This window comes from Homo sapiens, chromosome 11, assembly GCF_000001405.40.
Source record: "Homo sapiens chromosome 11, GRCh38.p14 Primary Assembly".
Classification (NCBI taxonomy): Eukaryota; Metazoa; Chordata; class Mammalia; order Primates; family Hominidae; genus Homo; species Homo sapiens.
In genome coordinates this window covers 10,431,199-10,453,779 of record NC_000011.10, presented here as the reverse complement: position 1 = coordinate 10,453,779, position 22,581 = coordinate 10,431,199, and the positions used below count along the sequence as shown (strand labels likewise).

At 42.7% G+C, this 22,581-nt stretch overlaps 1 protein-coding gene across 2 annotated transcripts in view, besides 6 other annotated features; it reads right to left on the bottom strand.

The window, feature by feature from the left end:
* AMPD3 (adenosine monophosphate deaminase 3) overlaps window positions 1–3,392 on the bottom strand; it is a 57,192-nt gene extending 53,800 nt beyond the window's left edge. Inside the window, exon 1 of one of the 2 annotated variants that reach the window (NM_001172431.2) lies at window positions 3,265–3,392. Coding sequence is in view for 1 of the 2 variants with exons in the window: in NM_000480.3 (NP_000471.1) it covers window positions 2,737–2,758 (22 nt within the window). In the remaining variant the exon portion in view is untranslated. Of the gene's footprint in view, window positions 1–2,736; window positions 3,090–3,264 lie in introns of those variants that run through there. The other variant, NM_000480.3, reaches the window with a different exon arrangement.
* Window positions 1,910–2,039: an enhancer, noted in NCBI's record as "active region_4434". NCBI's record gives its function as "activates an Ori minimal core promoter by ATAC-STARR-seq in GM12878 lymphoblastoid cells {active_cell/tissue: GM12878}" and the evidence as "EXISTENCE:reporter gene assay evidence [ECO:0000049][PMID:35858748]".
* Window positions 2,470–2,599: a silencer, noted in NCBI's record as "silent region_3152". NCBI's record gives its function as "represses an Ori minimal core promoter by ATAC-STARR-seq in GM12878 lymphoblastoid cells {active_cell/tissue: GM12878}" and the evidence as "EXISTENCE:reporter gene assay evidence [ECO:0000049][PMID:35858748]".
* Window positions 2,750–2,939: a silencer, noted in NCBI's record as "silent region_3151". NCBI's record gives its function as "represses an Ori minimal core promoter by ATAC-STARR-seq in GM12878 lymphoblastoid cells {active_cell/tissue: GM12878}" and the evidence as "EXISTENCE:reporter gene assay evidence [ECO:0000049][PMID:35858748]".
* Window positions 3,040–3,199: a silencer, noted in NCBI's record as "silent region_3150". NCBI's record gives its function as "represses an Ori minimal core promoter by ATAC-STARR-seq in GM12878 lymphoblastoid cells {active_cell/tissue: GM12878}" and the evidence as "EXISTENCE:reporter gene assay evidence [ECO:0000049][PMID:35858748]".
* Window positions 8,473–8,532: an enhancer, noted in NCBI's record as "active region_4433". NCBI's record gives its function as "activates an Ori minimal core promoter by ATAC-STARR-seq in GM12878 lymphoblastoid cells {active_cell/tissue: GM12878}" and the evidence as "EXISTENCE:reporter gene assay evidence [ECO:0000049][PMID:35858748]".
* Window positions 8,553–8,832: an enhancer, noted in NCBI's record as "active region_4432". NCBI's record gives its function as "activates an Ori minimal core promoter by ATAC-STARR-seq in GM12878 lymphoblastoid cells {active_cell/tissue: GM12878}" and the evidence as "EXISTENCE:reporter gene assay evidence [ECO:0000049][PMID:35858748]".

Sequence of the window (22,581 nt, the reverse complement as noted above, 5' to 3'; positions counted from 1 at the left end):
CCATCTCTACTAAAACACAAAAAATTAGCTGGGCATGGTGGTGCGCACCTGTAGTCCCACCTACTTGAGAGGCTGAGGCAGGGGAATCACTTGAACCCAGGAGGCAGAAGTTGCAGTGAGCTGACATTGCACCACTGCACTGCACTCCAGCCTGGCGACAGAGCAAGACTTTATCTCAAGAAAAAAAAAAAGAAAAAGAAAAAGAAAGATATCACTCTCCTCCCCAAAAGCCAGGCATGAGCTTGCATAGAGGGGTTCATTTTTCTTCTCATTTGTGAGGTGTGTGTGACTCACACAAGGAGTTGGACAAAGGGGATTCACTTGCTAAATACCAGCTCCATGACAAATCTCGCCTGTCTCATTCACAGTTGTATCCCCATACCTGAAATATGGTCGACATTCAGCAAGTATTTGTTGAATGAATGAATGCATAAAACAATGAACAAGTGAACTAGCTATTTATAATAGATCAATCCACCTATGGCAATCTCAGGAATGAGTAGAGTGTATGGCTAAAAACGTAGACTCAGGCTGAGTGTGGTGGCTCACGCCTGTAATCCCAGCGCTTTGGGAGGCCGAGGCGGCCAGACCACTTGAGGTCAGGAGTTTTGAGACCAGCCTGGCCAACATGGGGAAACCCCATCTCTACTAAAAACACAAAAATTAGCCTGGCATGGTAGCGGGCGCCTGTAATCCCAGCTACTTGGGAAGCTGAGGCAGGAGAATCGCTTGAACCCGGGAGGTGGAGGTTGCAGTGAGCTGAGATTGTGCCACTGCACTCCAGCCTGGGTGACAGAGTGAGACTCCATTTCAAACAAACAAACAACAACAAAAAAAACTCCAGCTAGACTCCCTGCATTTGAATCCTGTTCCACCACTTAGTTGTATGACCTTGGGCAAGTTAAATAACTTTTCTGTGGCTCGGTTTTATTCCCTATGAAGTGTGGATAATAAAAAGCCAATCTCATAGGTTGCCATGACAATGAGCATAAGTGAAGTGTTTAGACTGGTACCTGGCATAGAGTATGTGTTTTATAAGCATTATCTGCCAACATCATTGTCATCATCATTATGATATCAGATACGAGAGAGAAGAACTAGGAAAATGAACATGAAGTTTTATCTAGACACTGAATCCTTTTATTCAACCTTATTTATTGAGCACCACCATGTGCCTGGCACTCTCCCAAGTTTCTATTACCTGGGTGCAGGAAGAAGGAAAACATATTTAAATGTGAAGCCAGATCAGGAGGAGGAACATCCTTCTCCCCTATGAATGGTACTTCTCGGTGACTGTACACAGCCAGGACTCCAGCCATGAGCTCATCCTCCCATGCCCCAGTCAGTTCCTTACAAATCAAAAGCCCAAAGCAATTGTCTGTTGTCCTAGATATGCAACCAGCATACAGAAGAACTAAGAGATTATTATACTTGGTGGAAGAATCATGGAGGCCAATGGGCAGCTTTAGGGGAGAAAGGGTATCTCCCTGTTAACCCGAAGGCTACATGTTATCTGCCCATGACATTTTCAAGACCTGAGACAGATTTTGAGGCCATTTGAAGAGTGATCCAGTCAGTGTAGAGGCAAAAAAAAACAACTACAAAAAACCTCATCTCTCAAAGAGCTTCTTGACCTAGCTGAGAGCTAGGAGAACCTTAGAAGACAGAGGCTGAGCTAAGGATGGGACTGAGAGGTCAAAGAGTCTCCCAGCCACCACCTATGCAGGTGTCATTATTCCTAGAGAGGGCAGCCCCATACCATCATCCTCAGAGCAAGCCAGGCCCCATGAAGCTGCAGCCAGGCCAGGCCAACTACCCCAGACCTGCTGTCAACACTCCTAGAGGTGTGAAGTGACAGAGGCTCTGTCTGTCTGGCTCAATGGCTCCACTAACACTCGGCCTTAGTGCTGCACAGCCAGGGAAAGAATTTCTCCTCTGCAGGTTCCAGCTGCAGGCAGCTTTTCCATGAAGATGGCCAAATGTTGGTCACTGCATCCTGAGGGAAAGCCAACAGGGGCTCAAGACCATGCTAAAATCCCTCCTTGTGCTGCCTGCTTTCACCCAGCTCCTTTGCTGATGTGTCGCCATCAAGCTTTCAGCCACATACAGTTTGGGGAAATGATACCCTAGTTAGCAAGCCTCTCCTACTCCAAGGCCTCTCAAAACTCTCCCCAGGGACCTCTGCCAGCCTACAACAGCCATTAGCAGCTCTGCTGGCAAAGCAGCTACCAGAAGATCAAGGGCAGAAAGCAGACTGCCAGAGCCCAAGGCTGTACACCTCCCTTGCCGGGAGAGAGCCAAAGAGGTAAGGATGAAGGCCTCAAACGACCTCATCACCCTATCATCCAGTGCATCCCTCGCCTCCAGGTAGAAGTCCACCTCAGCTGTCCACATCCAGCCAGTCCTCAAGCACCTAGGAACTTTGCCCAGGGTGGCAAGTCCCAGGTCCCTTAATTTCTCTAAACCTTGCGATTCCATTCTAGGCCGCCAGGGAATCGGGATGCTGCCCGCTCACCTGAGGCCGCTGGGGCTCGGGCCACCGCAGAGGCAGGGGTAGGGACAGGGACAGGAACAGGGGACAGGGCAAGGGATCGGACCGGAGTCAGCGCCACCGCCTCTGCGAGCAGGGAAGGCGGAAGCCGCGGTTCAGACCCCAGGGCGCTGCTGATTCCCGCCTGGGCCGCAGGGTCCGCGGGGCTGGCCCAAGGTCAGCAGCGCAGCCTCGCGCGCACTCACCGGGTTCGGACGACAGGGCCATGCCGCCGGCCGAAAGGGACGGCCGCAGGGCTGGAGCAAAGGGGACGCGCTGGGCAGAGCGGAGCGGGGCTGCTGGGCACTGAGGCCAGCCGGGGCCAGGGCCCGGCCAGGCCGCGCCCCGCAGCAGGCGCGGGGGCCGGGCGTTCAGAGGGCGCAGCGCTGCGGATCCCCGGCCAGGAGGGCCCCGCGGGAGGAGGGAGGGCCGCCTCAGCAGGGAGGAAGCCGGCCAGCCGCGTGCAGCCCCCGTCGGTGCCCTACCTGGGCGCGGAGCGGAGCAGAGAGAGCCGAGAGGCTACCTGAAGCGCCCGGGCCGCGCCGCCAACGGGAAACTTGAGAGCAGCAGGGGCGCGGCGGCCGCCAGGGCCCTTGGCCGGAAGCACCCGCCGCCTCCTGGGCTCCGCGGGGCCCGCGCCGCAGCCCGGAGCAGATGCCAGCCGGGCTCCCCAGACCTCAACTGCGCTGGCCCCGCCGGGCTTCCACACCGCTCCCCGTGCCGCCCGGGCTTGCCCGACGTCCTCCCCTCCCCGCACAACTTTTCCCAGCGCGAGACTCTGGGGGTCTCGGCCCCGCACAGGTGACTTGCTCCCTGTAGTTGCAGCAACCCGCAAGCATTGGTTTCTTCCAGGCGTCCTTCTGGTCACTTGGATACACACACACACACACACACACACACACACACACACTCCCTCGCCAACCGTCCACTCTTCCAGGCGTCCTTCTGGTCACTTGGATCACCTACACACACACACACACACACACACACACACACACACACACACACACACCACGTGCACACGCTCCCTCTCCAACCCTCCTCGCTCTGCCTTCACCTGCCCCTCAAAGTCCTGAATGACCTCCTAGTTGCCAAAGCCACTGGGTGCCGTGCAGCCTCCCTCGCTCACCTCTTCCTGGCATCTGAGCCTGCTGACCACGTCTTCCTTCCTGAAACGCTTGGAGTGCAGTTTCCAGAGTTGGCACCCGCGGCCCCCACCTCCAGATTTTTCACATACCTGGGTACCTACAGCTTCTCGGCCTCCGCGGCCTGGCTTTTCTCTGTGGTCCCACCCCAGGGTCCCACCGTGCCAGCCCGCTCTCCCACTCCAAGGCCCACTCTGGGCATCTCAGCCACTCCCATGGTTTTAACAACCTCCTGCCGGATGATGGCTCTTGAATTTCATCTCCAGCCCAGAATGCCCCCGAGCTGCTGAAGATGGTGAATCTAACTGCCTAGGGAACATCTCCTCTAGATCTTCCTAGGCCGGCGGAAGCGGTCCAGACCCAAACTACCTAGTTGCTTCCCAGGAAAACGCCAGAACCTGCTTCTGTGTTTCCAGTCTCAGTGAATGATACCGGGGTCGGCACCACCACGGGGCCACAGTTGGGAGCCATTCTTGACTCGGTCTCCCTTTCCTCTCTCAACGAGTAAGTCACCAAGCTCGGAGAGGAAACTTCATTAGTGAGCACCCACTGTGTGTCCTCACTGTGTCAACCACTTTCACAGAGTTGTCTCATGTAAGCACCAAGTTGTATTCCTTCTACCCCATAGTCTGATTGGTCTGATACTCGCAATTCGTGTATTCATAAACGTTTTGCACATGAGACTGCGTTAATGAGTTACATATTATAAAGAACACTAAAAAAATTAAAGGATGTGGTAAAGATGAAACAATAATTTTAAATTGTTTCATTTTTATGAGTGGTACAATATACCTTTTTCTTTTCATTTTAAAGTTATTAGCAATAATCTGTTTAGTGATTCCACTAATCTGTTAGTGATTTAGTGATTAAATCATTAAAAATGATTTAAATAAATCTTAGTTTAATACTTTATGAGACCAGAAAGTGTACTTGTAAGTTCAGTTAATGTCCATACTTGGTCTTAATGGCTATTCTTTAAAAAAAAAAAAAAAAGATATCTCACAAAGATTAAATAGACCTGAATAGAAGAACTGTATCTTTGCACTTATTAAATCATAGTTCTTACTGTTTAAATTTGATCTATCAATTTTGCAAATGTGAAAACTCTTCTTTGTCTATGAAATCAACATTTTCAATGATGTTTTCCTCAGCTGTTCTTGCAAATCATTTTAACAAATGGGACTTTTAAAACACTTGAAATTCTGCATTTGCAATATTGTAAAATGGATTTAGAAGTATGCTTCTACATTTTGCAGATTGTGGCTATGAGAGTATAGGTGACACTAGCACGCTTCGTTTTGGCATGAAAATCACATGATAATGGAAACAGTTCCAAACGTCAATTTTCAAAGTGCCTTCCCTATAACACAATTCTTCTAAAGCACATTTGTTACGTCAGTTCATTGCTGAAATATCACCTTTACCCAAAAGGATACTGTGTGTGTGTGTGTGTGTGTGTGTGTGTGTGTATGTGTGTGTATATGTGTGTTTCTTTCTGCTATGTATCACACTTGTGACAATCTCAGGCCAGCACATCGGAGGTCAGCAAATTTGGAGCACTTGTTCTTTGTTAAGGAAACTCATCTTTAAATTCACAGCGTTCAAGTTGTTTGCCTTGAGATAATCAGTAAACCTTGGAATCATAAGAAAGATTTTTAGTCTCATTCCACATCTCAATACAAAGTGCTATAAAGATTCTGCTATATTTTAATTTTTTAATTAACCATATTATTGACATCCCATAGTATTTCATGATCTTCTTGCTTCAACTTCTTGTTGTACTTTGTAAATGAATAATGTGATTGCTGAATTTCACATGTAGTCCTCATGGACCAGAACACGAACCACCCCCCAGTTTTGGAGGAGAGATTGGTGGTGCTGCTACTGCTTGGGGTTGGGTGAGGGTGACAGTGGCAGTGAGAGGTGGAGGGGGTGAGGGGTAGCGGAAGTGGTTGCATTGGCAGAAGACTAGTGAGGTGGTGTTCATGTTGAACTGAGGCAATGGAAGGGTAACATTAAATCAGTAGTCTTCAAAGTAGAATGTGTAGAATGATCCATTGAAATGTAAAAGAAAAATTAAAACATTTATTTCTACATATTTTTTAGTCTAAAAATAAAAAAAATTAACATTCACCAATGTTAACTACATGGAACCCTTACTCAACTCATGCATCAGGTGTCCATGCCATGTGTCATATCAGAGGCATAGTCAGGGATGAGAGGAGGTTGTGCAACACGGGGGACAGAGAATGGGACCATGACACCCTTGCCTTCAAAGTATATTACTAGGCCTTATGAACTATTTGTATCCTGGGCAGTAGATAGACAGATTACGTTTTCTGGTTTTCACTAAACTCTTCTCACAAAAGAGACAAGTGGTAGAACGAGACATTTACATGTCTTGCTGAGTTTATAGCATTTACATGTCTTGCTGGTCATACAAAACACCAACCACCCTTCATTTTGTATTCCAGAGAGGGCAGCCACTCCCTCAGTGGTTTACTTTCACCCATAAAAACCACAGCATGTTTTACTAAGTTGTTCACTGTTGTGAACATATCTATCTTTCCTTTAGTAGATCACAAAAAATATTTCTTTATGAATGTCATTATCAAAAAGCATAGCAAATACTCAAGGTGAAACATGTTAGCAACTTGCATCCAACCATATAGCCAACTTCCACAACACACCATGTGTTTTAAAACTTATTCTTCAAACTTAAAGTCTGTGTGTCTTCCAACAGAATACATTTTTATGTACTACCATCTTCTCTCTGTATTAACTCAGTCACTTTAACCATGGCAAATACAACAGCTGTTTTTTCCAGTGATGTTGACTGATATTTTGTCTTTTACTATTAAATAAGAAGCCTCAAAAGAGATTTCTGAGCACTATTTTTTTTTTTTTTTTTGAGACAGAATCTCACTGAGTCGCCCAGGCGCTGGAGTGCAGTGGTATGATCTCAGCTCACTGCAACCTCTGCTTCCCGGGTTCAAGTGATTCTCCTGCCTCAGCCTCCCAAGTAGCTGGGATTACAGGCATGCGCCACTATGCCCGGCTAATTTTTTTTGTATTTTTAGTAGGGACAGGGTTTTACCATGTTGGCCAGGCTGGTCTGCAACTCCTGACCTCAGGTGATCCGCCCACCTCAGCCTCCAAAGGTGCTGGGATTACAGGCATGAGCCACCGCGCCCGGCCAAAAAATAATTTTTAAAAAGTACACAACTAAGTATTGCATGACTTGGAAAATCCCTGAAAAAAAAATCGTAGAGGTTTGTCTTCTTGCCCTGAGTTTATAGCATTTACATGTCTTGCTGATCATGATTTCATGTTTATATTATTATTAGCTAATACCTCAAGGGCCAACATATGGTGGTGTAAATCCCTGTTTCAAGTAGTCTTTTTTATAAATTTGAACTTAGTTGTCAGAGCTGACTACTACTGAGCTGACTAATCATCATAATGGATATCATATTAGTAGTAAGAAATCGTCAACTTTGCCATTTTCTGAGTTTGCTTTTGCTTACATTGTTCATATTATTTTCAGTCTATGGGTTCCTTTGAGGAATGTCTTCAAACCACTTGTCTCTTTTGTGAGAAGAGTTTAGTGAAAACTGATAATATGTCTATCCACTGCCAGGACACAAATAGTTCTTAAGACCTAGCAATAGATTTTGAAAGCAGGTGGGCCAGGGAGGGTGCTGTGGTCCCCTTCTCCATCCCCCATGTTGTAGAACCTCCTCTCTTCCCTGACTTGCCTCTGATATGATGCATGACATGGACACCCAATGCATGAGTTGAGTGAGGGTAAAATGTATAATAGTAAACATTGGTGAAGGTTAGCTTTTTAGTTTTAGACTAAAAAAAAAGTAAAAATAAAAGTTTTAATTTTTCTTTTACATTTCAATGGAACATTCTACACCTCCTGTGAAGACCACTGATTTAATCTAACCCTTCCATTGCCTCAGTTCAACAAGAATACCACCTAACTAGTCTTCTGCCAATACAACCACCCCCCCGACCCCTCACCCCCTCTAGCTCTCACCCCCACTGTCACCCTCACCCCACCCCAAGGAATACCACCAGTCTCTCCTCCAGCTTCACACCAGGGACAGACATCCTGTGCTGTCAGCTCCTCTCCTCCAATCGGCCTGATGCTCCACTCATTCAGACCTTTGAACACCTAGGAAAGCACTTGGACCAGAGCTTCAGGTTACCTCCAACAATACTCTGACTCCTAATGCACTGGGGGATGGGGTTATTTGAGCGTTTTTGGAAGCCAATATCTGTTTGGGGTCTCTGTTCCCATGCCCTGACTTATGCTCCCTTCTGAATAATGGTTGCACAATGCATACATGTATACAAGATGGGCATGGCAGCCTCCGAAAACCCAGTTTCTCTACGACCTTTACAGTCTTCTCTGCTACAGAGGTCCAAATCTCCCCACAGGAGGCAATAAGAGAAGGACTCTGCTTCTGAGAGCACATTAGCAAAGCCTCATCAGATATAGCCAGTTTTCAAACCAAAGTGCCCTGGGGCCTTCTGCTAATTGAGTGGACAGAAATCATGGCATATGGCCTGACACTAGGATAGAAATAGGTACCTCAGAAGTACATGATGGCTGAAAGAAGAATAACCAGGGACATTTTCAGGGCACCACGTGTGGAAGGGCATTGCAGCCTACCCTGATGCTGTGGCATAATGAGAGTATAAGCCTTTCCCCCACCACCCCTCCACTCCAGTTTGAGCCTAATTCCTTCCCAGGATTTTAATCTGTGTAGTCAATCAGACCTAAGCAAACTGGAGTCTGACAATTGGCACAGCAGTCTCCTTACTGTTAAGATCTGGTTCCTTTTTTCTGAAATGGGTTTCTAGAAAGAAGAGAACCAAATCTGAGCACTTTGAAAATTAGTGCATGTGACAGCTAGGCCTCATCACAGAGTGCGTGCACTCAGGATTATGGCAGGAAGTGGGGAGGGGGGGTGTCCTGGGCACCAGGTCAGGAGACAACAAGAAGAGGGCTCAGGAGTAGGACTGGGCTGAGTCTGTTTCGGGGAACCTTGGGTCCTTGAGCTTAGAGTCCCTAACTCGTCACCAGACTGGAGTGAAAGAGAGTCATGAGTGGGAATCTGAAGCTTGGGGCCTACCACATGTGACCACAAAACCCTCCCTCCATTATCTAAGTGCATGGCAGGGGGCTGGTGCTCCCCAGGCATGGCTGTCTGCTGATAGGGACACAGTTTCTGAATCAAACTGAAGTCTGAAAATTAGCAGTCCTTTACTCCATCTAAGAATGACCTGTCGTCTCTACCTTCTTGCCAGGACTCTGTACAAGATCATCCTCAGCTACACAAGTAGAGTTTATTGCTCCAGGTCACCACTATCTTGTTTCCATGTTTGTGTATCTTTCATAGTCTCCAAAATGCCACCAGCAGCCTCAACATTACATTATTCTGGTGAGACTCTGCAGCTGAACATCCATAGATGAGAGTCACAGCTTCAAATAGAATTTCCCAAATTCTCTGCCCTCAATCTGCTTCAACTCTTCTGCCTTATCATCTGAAATTCAGACTTCAAATTCTAGGCTGACCATAGCCGTCTAAAATTTTTGGAAGCAGGGAGAGGGAGGTGAGTAGAGTGGAACTCAGGTGAGGCTATGACCTCTGTCTCCCAGAGATGCAGTCTCCCCCATTGCTGCCCACCTGCCCACCACACACACATTCCCCTTAGGCCATACTCTTTCCCAGGAGTCCTCCCTGGCTGTAGCTTCTAGTTTTCCTAGTCTCAAGCTACCTTCGTCCTGGTGCCTTGTTCAGAACTGCTCACCCAACCATTCAATGGGCAATAGGGTCAAAAGCTGAATCTGGAGTGAGGGTCTGTAGCCTTCCTGTCCCACGGTGTTTGCTTCCCAGTTGAATGTCAGACTCCAGGGGCTGGCCACCATCAGCCTTCGACAGTACCATCAACACTCAATACATCCACAGATCTGTGCATTCTACCAGGGACATCTGGAGGAAGGGGTGGCTAAAATTATACCAGAGAAAAGCATGGGGATTTTTCAAGTTCCTGAATTCCTGTTATTTAAAAAGAAGCCGAACTATGACCTCACTGGGGCTATAACATCTCTGGGTCAGGAAAGAGGGCTCTATTTAAGAATTTAATTTGGTAGAAGCCTAAACCTCAGCATTACGCAATATGCCTATGTAACACACCTGCACATGTACCCCCTGAATCTAAAACAAAAATAACAAAAATTTTTAAAAAATTTTTAAACATTTTTTAAAGAATTTAATTTGGGAAATCAAAAAATTGTGATGATTGTATGACATTGTGAATGCAATTAATGCTGCTGAATTGCACATGCAAAATGGTTAAAATGGCAACTTATATATATATTTTTACCACAGTAAAAAATTATCAAAAGAACAACAAAATTAAAGATTGAATTTTTTTAGAAACTGTTATTGCAGAACTTTACTATTTCTTTGGAACATTAAGTATGAACAGGGCAGAGCATGTGGGTCTCTATCCACCATCCAGTATCCCCAAGGCTTCAGGCAAAGCGGTTTAGCCGTGTTCTGGGGGAACACAGAAGACAGTCATGTTCCACACTGGCAAGGCTCAGAAGAGGAAAGGAGGGCAGCAGCCAGAGAAAGAGCATAAACACCAAAAAAGGACTGAGGCCCCATAGTCAGAATGAGGACTCTGACACAGAAGCTCGAGCCAGGTCCTCAGAAATCTTGAGAAGAACACAAGCCCCAAACAGCTCAGGGTGAGCAATCGTTTCCATAGCTCACGATTCATCCAAAGGATGACTCTTTAAGAGGAATAAATCAGCTAGAAGTCATCGGTATCTATCACCTGTCAACTGCTCCCAAAAGGTAAGCCCTCGTCACTGGCCCATCTGCACATTTCATGTCTTGATCACATTCCAGACAATTCCCACTGGATCCAGATCACTACCAGTCACCTATGGCAAAGTTCAGATCCCTATCTAAATGAACATGATGAAAGCTTATGATGCACCAATAATTTAGTGTTCACAAATATATTCACGGGAATTAAGTTCGGCTGATGGTAACAGAGACCCACAATAATAGTGGCCTAAACAAGAGAAAAATTTCTGTCTCATTTCCTTTCCCTAAATAGTCCAGAGTTGGACATTACAGGCTGTTCCACAAAAGCCCCACACTTCTTCCAGCCATCACTCTACCATCCCTCCAGTGTGGCCCTCATACTTTGTGGTGGGAGGGGGGGCGTGGGAAATTAGCTCTTCCTTTGTTAAGGAAGAGGCGGAGGCGGCCGGGCGCGGTGGCTCACGCCTGTAATCCCAGCACTTTGGGAGGCCGAGGCGGGTGGATCATGAGGTCAGGAGATCGAGACCATCCTGGCTAACAAGGTGAAACCCCGTCTCTACTAAAAAAAATACAAAAAAAATTAGCCGGGCGCGGTGGCGGGCGCCTGTAGTCCCAGCTACTCGGGAGGCTGAGGCAGGAGAATGGCGTGAACCCGGGAAGCGGAGCTTGCAGTGAGCCGAGATTGCGCCACTGCAGTCCGCAGTCCGGCCTGGGCGACAGAGCGAGACTCCGTCTCAAAAAAAAAAAAAAAAGAGGCGGAGGCTAGAGCTTCAGCCATTACACTCATGTTTCATGGAGCAGAAAGGAGGAAGTGACGAAGAATAAAAGGCAGAGGGCACAGGCCAGAGGCCTTTTAATTAAGCCACCATATCACACCTCCCACTGGCCTTACTGAGCTGCTCTCTAACATCACTGACCAGTGACCTCAGTATTTTTTGTGTCTCACGTATAATTTCACCAGGGCATAGCCTTCCTTTCCAAATATAACCGCCATTGGTTTTCGTGGTTAACTTGAGTATACCAGGCCTAGAAGCTTGCATCAAAGAGAGCAGATAAAAATATCAACACAGCACAGTTTAGATATCCTCACAACCTCAGAACTTCTCCAGCTTGGTCTTGGTGCACCACGATATTTGCATAGTTGTAGCACCCACTGAAAGGTCCAAAGACCTATGAGTTCGGCAAAAACCTTTTGGCAGTTTCAGGGAGATCAAAGAGAAAGTATGTCTCTCCTGCTCTAAAGGTAAGATTTGATCTGATTAAAGTTTTCACCCCCCTTCCTCATGAATTCCTGACATCAGCAGGACTCCCTCCTGGTAATGTGTCAGAAATGTGTCAGAGAAATGGAGGCAACATAGGCCTGAGGTTACCAGGATTATATTAATATATTATGTGTCACCTTCTCTAATTTGGGAAGCTAGTCTCAACTTGACATGCTTTAAAAGTCCTTCATGTTGTCATCCATGAAAGATCTATTGAGCATCTAGGTGTCAGCCACTGGGTCCTAGAGCAACAGTGGTGAGCAGAGCACCATTCTTGTCTTCATGGAGGTCATCAGCTAGTGGGTGACACAGGACGTTAATCAAATGACTTCAAACTATGATAGAGCTGTGAAGAAAAAATACAAGAACCATACCAGAGCATAACAAGAAAACTCAACCTTCGTCAGGATATGAGGGAGGAGACATGGGGAATGGCATGTGCAAAGGTCCTGGGAGAATTGAGGGGAATAATACCTGAGTCATTTCTTCCCCTACTTTACTTCTATCACATACTTGTGATTGGACATTCTGTTAAGTTTACGCATTAAAGCTTGGTTTTCAATGTGTATAAATTCCTTACTTTACCAAAGGGAAGTACCAGATGGCCCGGGTAAATAAAACCAGATTTAGTGCTCCAGGGTGGTGCTGTTTTTACATTAACTTTTCCAAATCCTGTCACTTTTCCAGCATTTATTAAATATATAACAAACCTATTTTAAGATTCCTCAGGCCCAGGCTCTTGTGTTTTCTCAACATTTCCAGCTGTGTGTCTCACGCATTCCTTCCACGTGAGCATATTCTGAAGGTCAGAGGGGAAGAAAGTTCTTCTCCCCACAGCTACTCTGTAAGCACCTTGCTTCCTTCCATCAAAGTTGTAGAGGTGCCCACTCATGCCACTCCCTGTGCAGACACTCTAGTGCCAGGTACCACCCATTCCACCCTCCTCCTTCTTCAGGGGAGTCTTCAACTTTAATTCTTTTCCTCTTCCAGGGTCTGGCCTTCTGTTCAGCTCCTCTCCATAGAGCAAGAGGAATAGGTCTGAGTGATGATCATGGCCCTGGGCTGAGGTCTGACTGTAGCCTTCTTGTCCCCTAATACCACCACCCCATTCCTGCCTCAAATCAGATCTCTTTAATCTCTACTCATCCTGATGAGTTAGGCTGCCATGTATTACCAAATTTCTACCAGGGATCTCTGAAGTATGTCAGTGAAGTCACAATCTATATCTTTAGTTTTATGTGATATAAAGGGTCCACCATTTAAATCTCAGTCCCTGTCTTTTATCTCCAGAGCTGGTTACTGAGAGCCAGAGTTCCAGAGGGTCCCCCTGGAGCCATCAACAGAATGGCTTCTGCATCAGTAGTCCCAGCAGCAGGCAGATGGTGCATTCATATTAGGCAAATTGATTTAACAGGTCATTTCATAGAAGGACTATTTTCAAAGGTGTGGCAAGTGTGTAGGGAAACAGTGAGGGTCTGTGCAAGACTCAAGAGCTAATAATATCAGGGCTGTTACTTTCTGGGCCTAAAGGGCCAAGATGAGAGAGCAGCTACAGTGATTATGCAGCAAGCTTCCAATGAAGCCAGATTCCAAGTTATTTATTTGTCTCATGTTCCCTGGCTAACTCCTGTTAGCCTGGTCCTGATAGGCCTTTTTAATCACTGCCCTATCCTATTTCTCCAGATCCCTCGCAAGATCTCACAAGGCCCCTCTCCAAGTTTTACTCTTCAGCACAGGATCTTCCTGCCTCTGACCTGACCTCAAGGCCTCCTGTGAACCTGATGGCTACAAGTACCTGGCCAAGCCCACCTGTCCCTGTAGCTTTTCTTTCCTCCTCAGTGAGGATCTGTAAACAGTGCTAAGGGTCACCACCTTTGCCCCCTGACCTTCCTTGCCTTTCTTTGTAGCTGGTGACTTGTACTCAATCAGGCCTTATGGCTTATGGCCTTAAGGCTCAGCAGTTGTGTCCCAGGGTTTTTACTATGAAGGGGAGAGATCCCTCCCACTATCCCCTCCCTGTCCCCGTGCGTCACTATTACTGAGAACACGAAACACGGTCGCCCTGTACTCTCACAGCAATTTCAGTGAACTGCCCTGTTTTTATTCATTTTCTACTACAGCCCTTCCCTCTGAGGCTGGGCCAGAGTGAACAACATTCACAGGCTAGACCCCTTCCCAAGAGGTTTCTAGATCCTTCTGCAAACAGACTTCTGCCACCACAATTGCTCTGGACCATCCAAATACATGTGAATCTGACAGTCCCGGTGCTCAGAACACTAGGCTGTCCCACTAAGACCATGCCTCTGGTATAGTCTTGCAAGGGACAGCTCTGTCCAAGCAGTCTCTCCACAGACATATTTAGAAATATTCTTCTTTCTGTCTAGCTGTCAGCAGCTGAAATCATGCAGCCTAATTTGTTAAACATTTTCTGCCCGGGAGTAGGATTTTGGGGAGTTGCATGTTCTTCTCATATCCTTCAGGACTGAAAATTATGTTTTTAAATAGGAAAAAATGTGAATATAAAACAGATGTTTCCCAATATTATACAGTAATATGGTAAATGCTTCTGATAGAACATTAAGTTAGAAAAGCAGTCCACAAGAACATGATTTCAACTATGTAGAAATAAAGCAAATGAAATAAAATCAATAAAAACCTGAGCATAGAAGTAAGTAAGTTGCAGTACAATAAAGAAAAATACCACTCTAGATTCTGGGGGAAAACCCTTTCAGCTCAGGAGGGCCTGTCCTGTTTCTCCAACAGGCTTCCCACTGCTCCATTTCTGCCTAACAGACATCTGAGTATGCATTGGTCAGTAGAAAAGAGACCTTGAGTAAGAATCTGATTTGATCCAAGGTAAAGAAAAGCTACAACAGCAAAGCTGGAGAGCTTCGGGTTGCTTTGGAATAGGATGGATGGGAAGAAGCAAGAATATGGAAAGTGAGGAAAGAGGTTTAAATAGAAAAGGGGACCTTAAAACTTGACAATAGGTCAGGGCCGAATCTGAAAGACAGGCAATGAAAAATTCCCTGGGGGAAGGAGGGGACTGTATATTAAATTAAAATTGTTTTGTGTTGTGTGCTATGCTGTAATACCCCTCCGTTAACCCCACATCTTCAGGAAAAACACTTGGGGGAATCAATGGGAAGTCTTTGCAAACTGCAATATGGACAGATATAAGAGCTATTGTAAAACAAGCCCTCTTGTAACAGCTAGGATAGGATAGGCCATAGCCAGCCTCTTAAGAAAGAAACAAAGCAGTTCAACACATCAAAGGTATGTTTCTTGCATATATCACTAGCCAATGCATGTGAGGCAGCTCTCTTGCATCCCAGACAGTGACTCAGAGATTCATGCAGATTCATTCTGCATTTCCAGCATCAGAAGTCTTTCACTGCTGGATATGTGGAGAGAAGAGTGGTAATGTGGTCAGTAACACTGCTAAAGCAGAATCTAGAAGGAAACATATACCATTAAGTCCATATATTAAAAAATAAGGAAGGTTAAAAACCAATGATCTGGCTGGGCACGGTGGCTCACGCCCGTAATCCCAGCACTTTGGGAGGCTGAGTCGGGCAGATGATCTGCCATAGGGAGTTTGAGACCAGCCTGGCTGAAATGGTGAAATCCCGTCTCTACTAAAAATACAAAAATTAGCTGGGAGTGGTAGTGGGTGCCTGTAATCCCAGCTACTCGGGAGGCTGAGGCAGGAGAACTGCTTGAACCCAGGAGGTGGAGGTTGCAGTGAGCCGAGATCGCACCAGTGCACTCCAGCCTGAGCAACAGAGCAAAACTCCATCTCAAAAAAAACAAAAACAAAAACCAACCAATGATCTAAGTTCTCAACTCAAAAAACTAGAAAAATGGCCAGGCATGGTGGCTCACACTTGTAATCCCGGCACTTTGGGAGGCCAAACCTGGAGGATTGCTTAAGCCAAGGAGTTTGAGACAAGCCTAGGCAACATAGTGAGACCCTGTCTCTATGTAAGAAAAATCTTTCTTTAAAATATATGTTTAAATAATAGGAAAAAAGCTAAAACAAAAACAAAAACAAAAAACAGAAAATTAACCCCCTCAAAAAATAGAAGAGAGGAATACAGAGCAGGATCAATGGAATAGAAAACAGACATTTAATAGAGAAAATCAACAAAGTCAAAAGTTTATTCTTTGAATAGATTAATACACTTAATAAACTCCTAGCAAGACAATTCAAGAAAAGAGAGAGCAAGAGAGAGAAAAAAACATAAATACAAAAACCAGCCTTGAAAAAGAGAATATCACTACCTGCCTTACAGACATTAAAAAGATAATGAGAGGATGTTAGAAAAAACTTTATGCCAATAGATTGGCATTCTATACACCAATATTTATGCCAGTAAATTAGAAAATCTAAGTGAAACATGTTTCTTAAAATACAATTTGCCAAAATTGCCACAAGAAGAAATTTTAAAATACCAATAGCCCTATATCTATCAAAGAAATCAAATCTGAAATTAAAACTGTTTCCAAAAAGAAAACTATATGCCCAGATTGCTTCACAAAAATTTAAGAGATAATTAATACTGGCCTGCAGAGGTGTGTCCAGAAAATAGAAGAAGGGAAACATTCAAACTCATTTTATAAGGCCCACAAAACATTGATTCCAAAAGCTCAGAAAGATATTACAAGAAAGGAAAATTACTGGACAACACCTTAGGCTGGGAAATTTAGAGAAGCACATGTGAGCCAACTTGGTGAGCAACAACAGTCTCCACTGCAGTTCACTCTTCTGGCCATTAAATATCCCTTTGTTCCCTTCGTCCTGAAGGTAGAGCATCTTCCACCACTCCTCACGAAAGACAATCCAAAGTCCAATCTATTATAGCTTTGCATTTCTTAGTCCTCTCTATCAGGAAAAGACATGGCTTCTCTTACACCTGTGAACTGAAAAGTCAAGATGTCTGCCTCATATCCATGTGATATGGGTTGGCTGTGTCCCCAGCCAAATCTCATCTGGAATTGTAGCTCCCATAATTCCCACATGTCATGGGAGGGGCTTGGTGAGAGCTAATTGAATCATGGGGTTGGGTATTTTCTCAGGCTGTTCTCATAATAGTGAATAAGTCTCACAAGATCTGATGGTTTTATAAAGAGGAATTCCCCTGCACAAGCTCTCTTGCCTGCTGACATGTAAGATGTCCCTTTGCTTTTCCTCTGTCTTCCACCATGATTGTAAGGCCTCCCCAGCCATGTGGAACTGTAAGTTCATTAAACCTCTTTTCTTGTAAATTACCCAGTCTCTGGTACGTCTTTATTAGCAGCATAAGAACAGACTAACACACCATGACAGCATACAAATATGCGATAATAGAACAAGAATAGGATAACTACAATAACAGGAACAGGATAACTCCCATTCAGAAAGGGGAAGACTAAGAGACCCACAGTAGTCACTGCCTGTGACAGTGCTGAAATACCAGTGGGCAGATGTTATAAAGGCTGCCTAGCCTAGAGCAGGAACTCCCTCCTCCACTATTCTTTGTGATCCTTGGCACCACACTCTGAGGGGCTTCCTCCTGGACCCTGATACTGCTTGACCACATGTAAAGAGGGAGTTAGGGAGAATACTCTCTTTAGGGGATGTGCAACTTCCTACCAGAGGTTGCTTTAAGGCTTAGCTAATGGACTAACGCTTTTTATACAGCCTTGTGGTTTCTTTGACAATACTGTTTCCTCAAAAATTTGGTAAGCATCTGATCTATTTGCCAATATCCACACTCAAGGTTGCTTTTGTAAGATACAGTTTTCCAACTTGCTTTACCTTTCGCCTTCTTGTCCCCCTGCTCCCTCTGTCTTTCAATATGATAGTGTCTACCTTGAAGCTAGCTAGAACAAAGGAATGCACCTTTAATCAGATATTTTCCTTTTTTTTTTTTTTCCTTTTTTTCTGAGACAGGATCTCACTCTGTCATCCAGGGTGGAGTGCAGTGGCACGATCATGGTTTGCTGTAACTTCAACTTCCCGGGCTCAAACAATCCTCCCACCTAAGCCTCCCAACTAGCTGAGACTACAGGTGTGCACCACTTTGCCCAGCTAGTTTTTTAATTTTTTTGTAGGGACGGGGTTTCACTATATTGCCCAGGCTGGTCTTGAACTCCTGGACTCAAACAATCCTCCCACTTCAGCCTCTGAAAGTTCTGGGATTATAGGCATGAGCTGGGATTTTAATCAACTGAGACATTTTCTTGGGCCTTATTATGCAACGCCTTTTAAATTTCCATCTCTTACTATCCGGAAACTAGAAACAGTCAATTTTTTCAATTCTACAGGCCTCAGTATTCTGAATTTTCTCTATTTTAGTTAATTTCTACTGGCAAACAGGCAACTCTTTTTTAAATTTTTTAAAATTTAGACCTAATTCGCATACCATGATATTCACTGTTTTTAAAGTGTACAACTCAGTGGTATTTACTATACTTACAAAGTTGTGCAACCATCACCACTATCTAATTTCAGAATATTATCACCAGCCCCAAAAGAAACCTTGGAACCATTAACAGTCACTCTCCATTTACCACTTCTCCTCTCTCCTAGAAACCATTAATCTACTATCTGTAGATATGGATATGGATTTGCATATTCTAGACATTTCAGATAAATGAAATAATATAATACACGGCCTTTTGTGTCCAATTTCTTTCAGTTAATGTTTTCGAGGTTCAGCCATGTTGTAATGAGAATCAGTACTTTATTTCTTTATATGGATGAATCATATTCCATTGTATAGACACACTATTTTTTTTAATCCGTTCATCGGTGGATGGACATGAGGGTTGTTTCCACTTTTGAGCTATTATAAATAATTGTGCCACGAAAAATTATATACAGATTTTTATGGGAATGTGTGTGTTTTATAGCTCTTAGATAGGTACCTAAGAGTGGAATTGATGGGTCATACAGGAATTGTATGTTTAACATTTTGACGAACTTTCAAACTATTTTCCAAACTAGTAACACCATATGACTTCCCACCAGCAGTGTATAAGGGTTCCAATTTCTCCACATCCTCACCAGCGCTTGTCATTGTCTCTATTTAATCACAGTCATGTTAGTGAGTAGGAAGTGGTATCCCATTTTAGGTTTAATTTGCATTTCCCTAATGACTAATGATTTTGAGCATCTTTTCATGTGCTTCTTGTCCATTTGTGTATCTTATTTGGAAAAAACATCTATCAAATCCTTTGTGCATTTAAAAATTAGGTTATTTCTTTTTGTTATTGAGTTATAATAGTTCTTTATATATTCTGGATACTAGATGTTTATCAGATACACATGACTTGCAAATATTTTCTCAAGTTCTGAGTTGTCTTTTCACTCTCTTTATAGTGTTCTTTGAAACACTTAATAGTGTCCTTTAATTTTGATGAAGACTGTTTTTTCTTTTGTTGCTTGTGCTTTTGGTATCATATGTAAGAAATCATTGCATAATCCAAGGCCATGTATACCTATGTTTTCTTCTAAGAGTATTATAGTTTTAGCTCTTAAGTTTAGATCTTTGATAATTTTGAATTAATTTTTGTGTACAGTGTGAGTAGTAGTCCAACTTCATTCTTTTGCATGGATATCCAGTTTTCTCAGCTCCATTTGTTGAAGAGACTATTCATTCCTTATTGAATGGTCTTGGCACCTTTATTGAAAATCAATTGGCTATAAATACGTGGGCTAATTTCTGGACTCTCTGTTGATTGATTTATATATCTATCCTTATGCTAGTACCACACTATCTTTATTATTACACTTTGTAGTAAGTTTTGAACCTGAAAATGTGAATGCCCCAACTTTGTTCTTCTTTCTCAAGATTATTTTGGCTATTCTGGATCCCTTGTATTTCCACATGAATTTTATTATCAGCTTGTCAATTTCTGCAAAAACCTGGCTGGGATTTTCTAATTTCATTCCGTTGTGGTTAGGGAACATACTGTATATTATTCAAAAGCATACATCAGTTTGGGGAGTACTGCCATCTTACAATATTGAGTCTTCCAATTTGTGAATATGCGATGTCTTCATTTATTTAGGTCTTCTTTAATTTCCTTTAGCAGTGTTTCATCTTTTTTTAGTGTGCAAATATTGCAATTCTTTTGTTAAGTTTGTCTCTACATATATTATTCTTTTTGATGCTACTGTAAATGGAATTATTTTCTTAATTTCATTTTTGGATTGTTCATTATTAGTGTACAGAAATACAAGCAATTTCTGTATATTAACCTTATATCCTGCAGCCTTGCTGAACTCATTGTTAGCTCTAAGATTTTTTTTGTGGATTCCCTTGATATTCTATATTCAGTAAGATGTTATCTGCAAGTAAAGATCATTCTACTTCTTTCTTTCAAATATAGATGCCAATTTTTTTCTTGATCAAGTTCCCTAACTACAACCTCCAGTACAATGTTGAATAGAAGTAACAAGAGTGGACATCCTTGTTTCATTCCTATCTTAGGGGAAAGCTTTTATTCTTTCACCTTTAGGTATGATGTTAGCTGTGGGGTTTTCATATATGCTTTTTAGAAGATTGAGAAAGTTTCTTTCTAATTCCTACTTTGTTGTGTGTTTTGACCATGAAAAGGTGCTGGTTTTTGTCAAATGCTTTTTCTTCATCTATTAAGATGATAATGTGGTTTTTGTCCTTTATACTATTAATATGGCATATTACATTTATTGATTTTTGCATGTTGAATCAATCTTGCATTCCTGCCATAAGTCCTGCTTTGTCATGGTATAAAATACTTTTTATATGTTGCTGATTCAGTTTCCCGGTATTTTTATGAGGATTTTGCATCTATATTTATAAGGAATATTGGTTTCTGCTTGTGATATTTTGTTCTGCCTTTGGTATCAAAGTAATACTGCCTCATAGAATGACTTGGAAAATGTTCTCTCCTCTTATAATTTTTGGAAGTATTTGTGAAGTATTGGGCTTAACTCTTTAATACTAGGTATTATAAAATTCACCAGTGAGGCCATTTGTCATCTACTTTTCTTTGTGGCAAGTACTTTTAATCACTAATTCAATCTCTTTACTTGTTACAGGTCTGTTTCAATTTTCTATTTCTTCTTGAGTCAATTTCAGTAATTTGTGTCTTTCTAGGAATCTGTTCATTTTATCTAGATTATCTAACACATTAGCACACAAGTGTTCATAATATTACCTTATATTCCTTTCTATTTTTGCAAGGTCGGTAGCAACATCCCCTCTTTCATTCTTGATTTTAGTAATTTGATTCTGTCTCTCTCTCTCTGTCTCTCTCTCTCTCTCTCTCTATGCTCTCCCTCTCTCTCTCTCTCTCTGTCAGTCAAGGTAAAGGTCTGTTAATTTTGTTGACCTTTTCAAAGAACCAACTTTTGGGTTTGTTTTTTTTTCTCTATTCTTTTCTATTTACATTTCATTCCTTTCTGCTCTAATCTTTATTGGTTTCCTCCTTCTGCTTGTTCTGGGTTTAGTTTGCTCTTGTTTTTCTAGTTCCTTAAGGTAGAAGTTTAGGTTACTAATATGAGTTCTTTGTCCTTTTTTCAATTTGGGTGTTTATAGCTATAATATTCTCTAAGCACTGCTTTGGTTTCATCCCATAAGTTTTGGTATGTCATGTTTTTATTTTCATTCATCTCAAAGTATTTTCTAGTTTTGTCTGTGATTTCTTCTTTGACTCATTGATTATTCAGAAATGTTCTTTAATTTCCATATATTTGTGAATTTCCCTCTGTTATTGATTTCTAATCTCATTCTGTGTGGTTAGGAAACATACTTTATATTATTTCAGAACTTTGAAATTTACTGAAACTTGTTTAATGACCTGACATATGGTCTAAACTGGAGAATTCTCCATGTGCACTTAAGAAGAATGTATAGTCAGTTGTTTCTGAGTGAAGGGTTATATTGCTATTAGATCTAGTATGTTTATATTGGTATTTAGTCTCTATTCCCATATTGATTTTCTGTCTAGTTGCTCTATCCATGATTGAAAGTGGTGTATTGAAGTCTTCAACCATTATTGTATCAATTCTGTCAGTTTTTGTTTCATGTATTTTGGGTCTCTGTTGTTAGGTGCATATATGTTTATAATTTTTATATCTTCTTGACAAATTGATTTATTTATAATTATAAAACTGTTCTTTGTCTCTGATAACAATTTTTGTCTTAAAGTCTATTTTGTCTGATATTAGTATAGCCACTCCAGCTTTCTTTTGGTTACTGTTTGCCTGATATATGTTTTTCCATTCTTTTACCTTGAACCTATTTCTGTTTTTGAATCAAACATGTGTCTCTTATATGCAGCATATAGTTGGATCATGTATTGTCCATTCTGCAAGTCTCTGGCCAGTCCTATTCTGAAGTTTTCTTGTAATACTTGCCAAATGCAGAAATAGTAGCCAACACATCTACTAATGTTCTGTTTTTCAGTCTCTTTTCCTAGAGATGCCATATAAGTAAATATGAAGCTTGCCTCCCAAGTTAGATTGGTTAGTAATATTTTGGCACAACATAACATGCATTGACATATTTCTGGTCTCCAACACCAGGCTTCCTCTCAGCACACCATCAGCTATTATAGCAGTGCCCTATTTCAATGTACCTATATCTGTCTTAGTATGATATTTATATTAGTCATAGTATGATAAACTATACCCTAGTAATAAATTAACTCAAAAATCTTAGTGTCTATTCACAATAGCCAAGATTTGGAAACAACCTAAGTGTCCATCAATAGACAAAGGGATAAAGAAAATGTAATACATATACACAATGGAG